The sequence below is a fragment of the Homo sapiens genome, chromosome 3, assembly GCF_000001405.40.
Source record: "Homo sapiens chromosome 3, GRCh38.p14 Primary Assembly".
Classification (NCBI taxonomy): Eukaryota; Metazoa; Chordata; class Mammalia; order Primates; family Hominidae; genus Homo; species Homo sapiens.
In genome coordinates, this window is record NC_000003.12 from 30,995,664 (window position 1) to 30,997,310 (window position 1,647).

General features: G+C 37.8%; 1 annotated feature.

Annotated features, from left to right (window-relative positions):
- Positions 704 to 1,205: an enhancer, noted in NCBI's record as "OCT4-NANOG-H3K4me1 hESC enhancer chr3:31037859-31038360 (GRCh37/hg19 assembly coordinates)". NCBI's record gives its function as "activates a minimal SCP1, AML or CMV promoter by ChIP-STARR-seq in naive and primed H9 embryonic stem cells {active_cell/tissue: H9 hESC(naive and primed)}" and the evidence as "EXISTENCE:reporter gene assay evidence [ECO:0000049][PMID:30033119]".

A 1,647-nucleotide genomic window follows, 5' to 3' on the forward strand; every position in this document is an offset into this window, starting at 1 on the left:
GTAATGTGTTTTAGCACGATACTTTATTAATGTTATCTGTTAATACATATTTAGCATTTATATTTTCAATGCATTTATAATTTTATGTTTATATGTTTTGTGATAGAAAATGTTGATATTTAGTTGCTGATTTTTAAAATTATTTTACGAACCTTGAGCATGCTTTTAAAATTAGCAAGAATGCCAGAACTATGCAAATTAATTAACAAAATGCTGTAACTTTCACTCAACAACAGTAAAAAACTTGACAAATATAAGTTTTTGTTATTTTTAAGATAAAAAATTAAAATGAGGTTATGCTTACAAATAAAGCTAGTGTAGGTGGCCTGTATGTCATCTAGAATTAAATTATGCTTATCTCTTCAAAATAATTTCTCAAATTTTAATATATGCAAGAATCACCTGAGGATCTTACTGAAATTTAAGTTCTGATTCAGTAGGTCTGGACTGGGGTCTGGGATTTTGCAAATTTTAACAAACTCCCAGGTGGCATTAATGCTACTGGTCCAGGGACCACTTTTTGAGTGGGAAGGCTCTTCTAGAGTACTTTACATCATTCTCCAATGAATGTTAGAGATCACTACCAGGTAGGGCTGTCTTAATGCCTATGACTTAAATGAATGGAAGAGGGCATGCTGGGAACAGTGAGGTAAGATAAGATAGGTGAGGTGATCTTGGTCTTACAAGTAGGCAGGAGATTGGAATTTATATGGAAAAAATCTGAGTTAAAGAGTCTTATGAAGGGAGATCTGGGAAACATTCTGTTCATGGTGTACATACAAATTGAAGTAGGAGAAACTGGTGGAGAACATTTTCAGAAAATTCCTTCTTTCAATGAATGTCACTGAAAAGAGCATGAAGGTTGAGTGCAGCTTTGTCCCGGGATTCCTGGCTGTTCTTCCACTCCCAGGAAGCAGTGAGCTCCTGGCACAGAAATCCCTATGAGAGCCCTGGGCAGTGGAATCAGCAAAACAATGGAACAGGACACCAGCATTCACTGTTTGCTTTGTGTCTTATCCTTCAGGATGCTCCCCCTGACTGTGCCAAGCTAGCTTGGTCCGCATGCCTGTGTGCTCTCCATGCCTCTCTCTTCATGGCACTGGTCTCATTGAATCAGGACCATCTGTTTGCTCACCAGTATCTCCCCTTTAAACCTGGAATACCCTGAGGGCATGAGCTACTCATACTGTGTCTGTTGTATATATGGTACCTAGCACAGTGTCCAGTTTTTGCCTGATACTGATCACTAAATATTTGTTCAGTAAGTGAATGAGACCTTAAAGATCATTTAACCCCACTGAATCCCTTTTTTCCATTGTTAAATTAAGAAACACTCTGAAATAGAGTGAACCTGCAGCTGTGCTCCAATAGCTGCCCACTATGGTTTTCCATTTTGCTTTTACCTCTATTGACACAGTAGATTTTAACCCATTTATGCCTGAGGTTGCAATTTTTTGAATTTTTGCAATCAGACCTTTGCTATGATCTTGAACAGTAGGATATAAATAACTCCCACATGATTAGTGTTCCAATAATGGAACATTAGGCATAAAGGGACTAATGCCAACCCTCTACCCCAAGATTCTATTTAACCTACTGTGACTCACATTGGACTTTCTGATTCAGTGTTCCTGATTCTGATTTCTG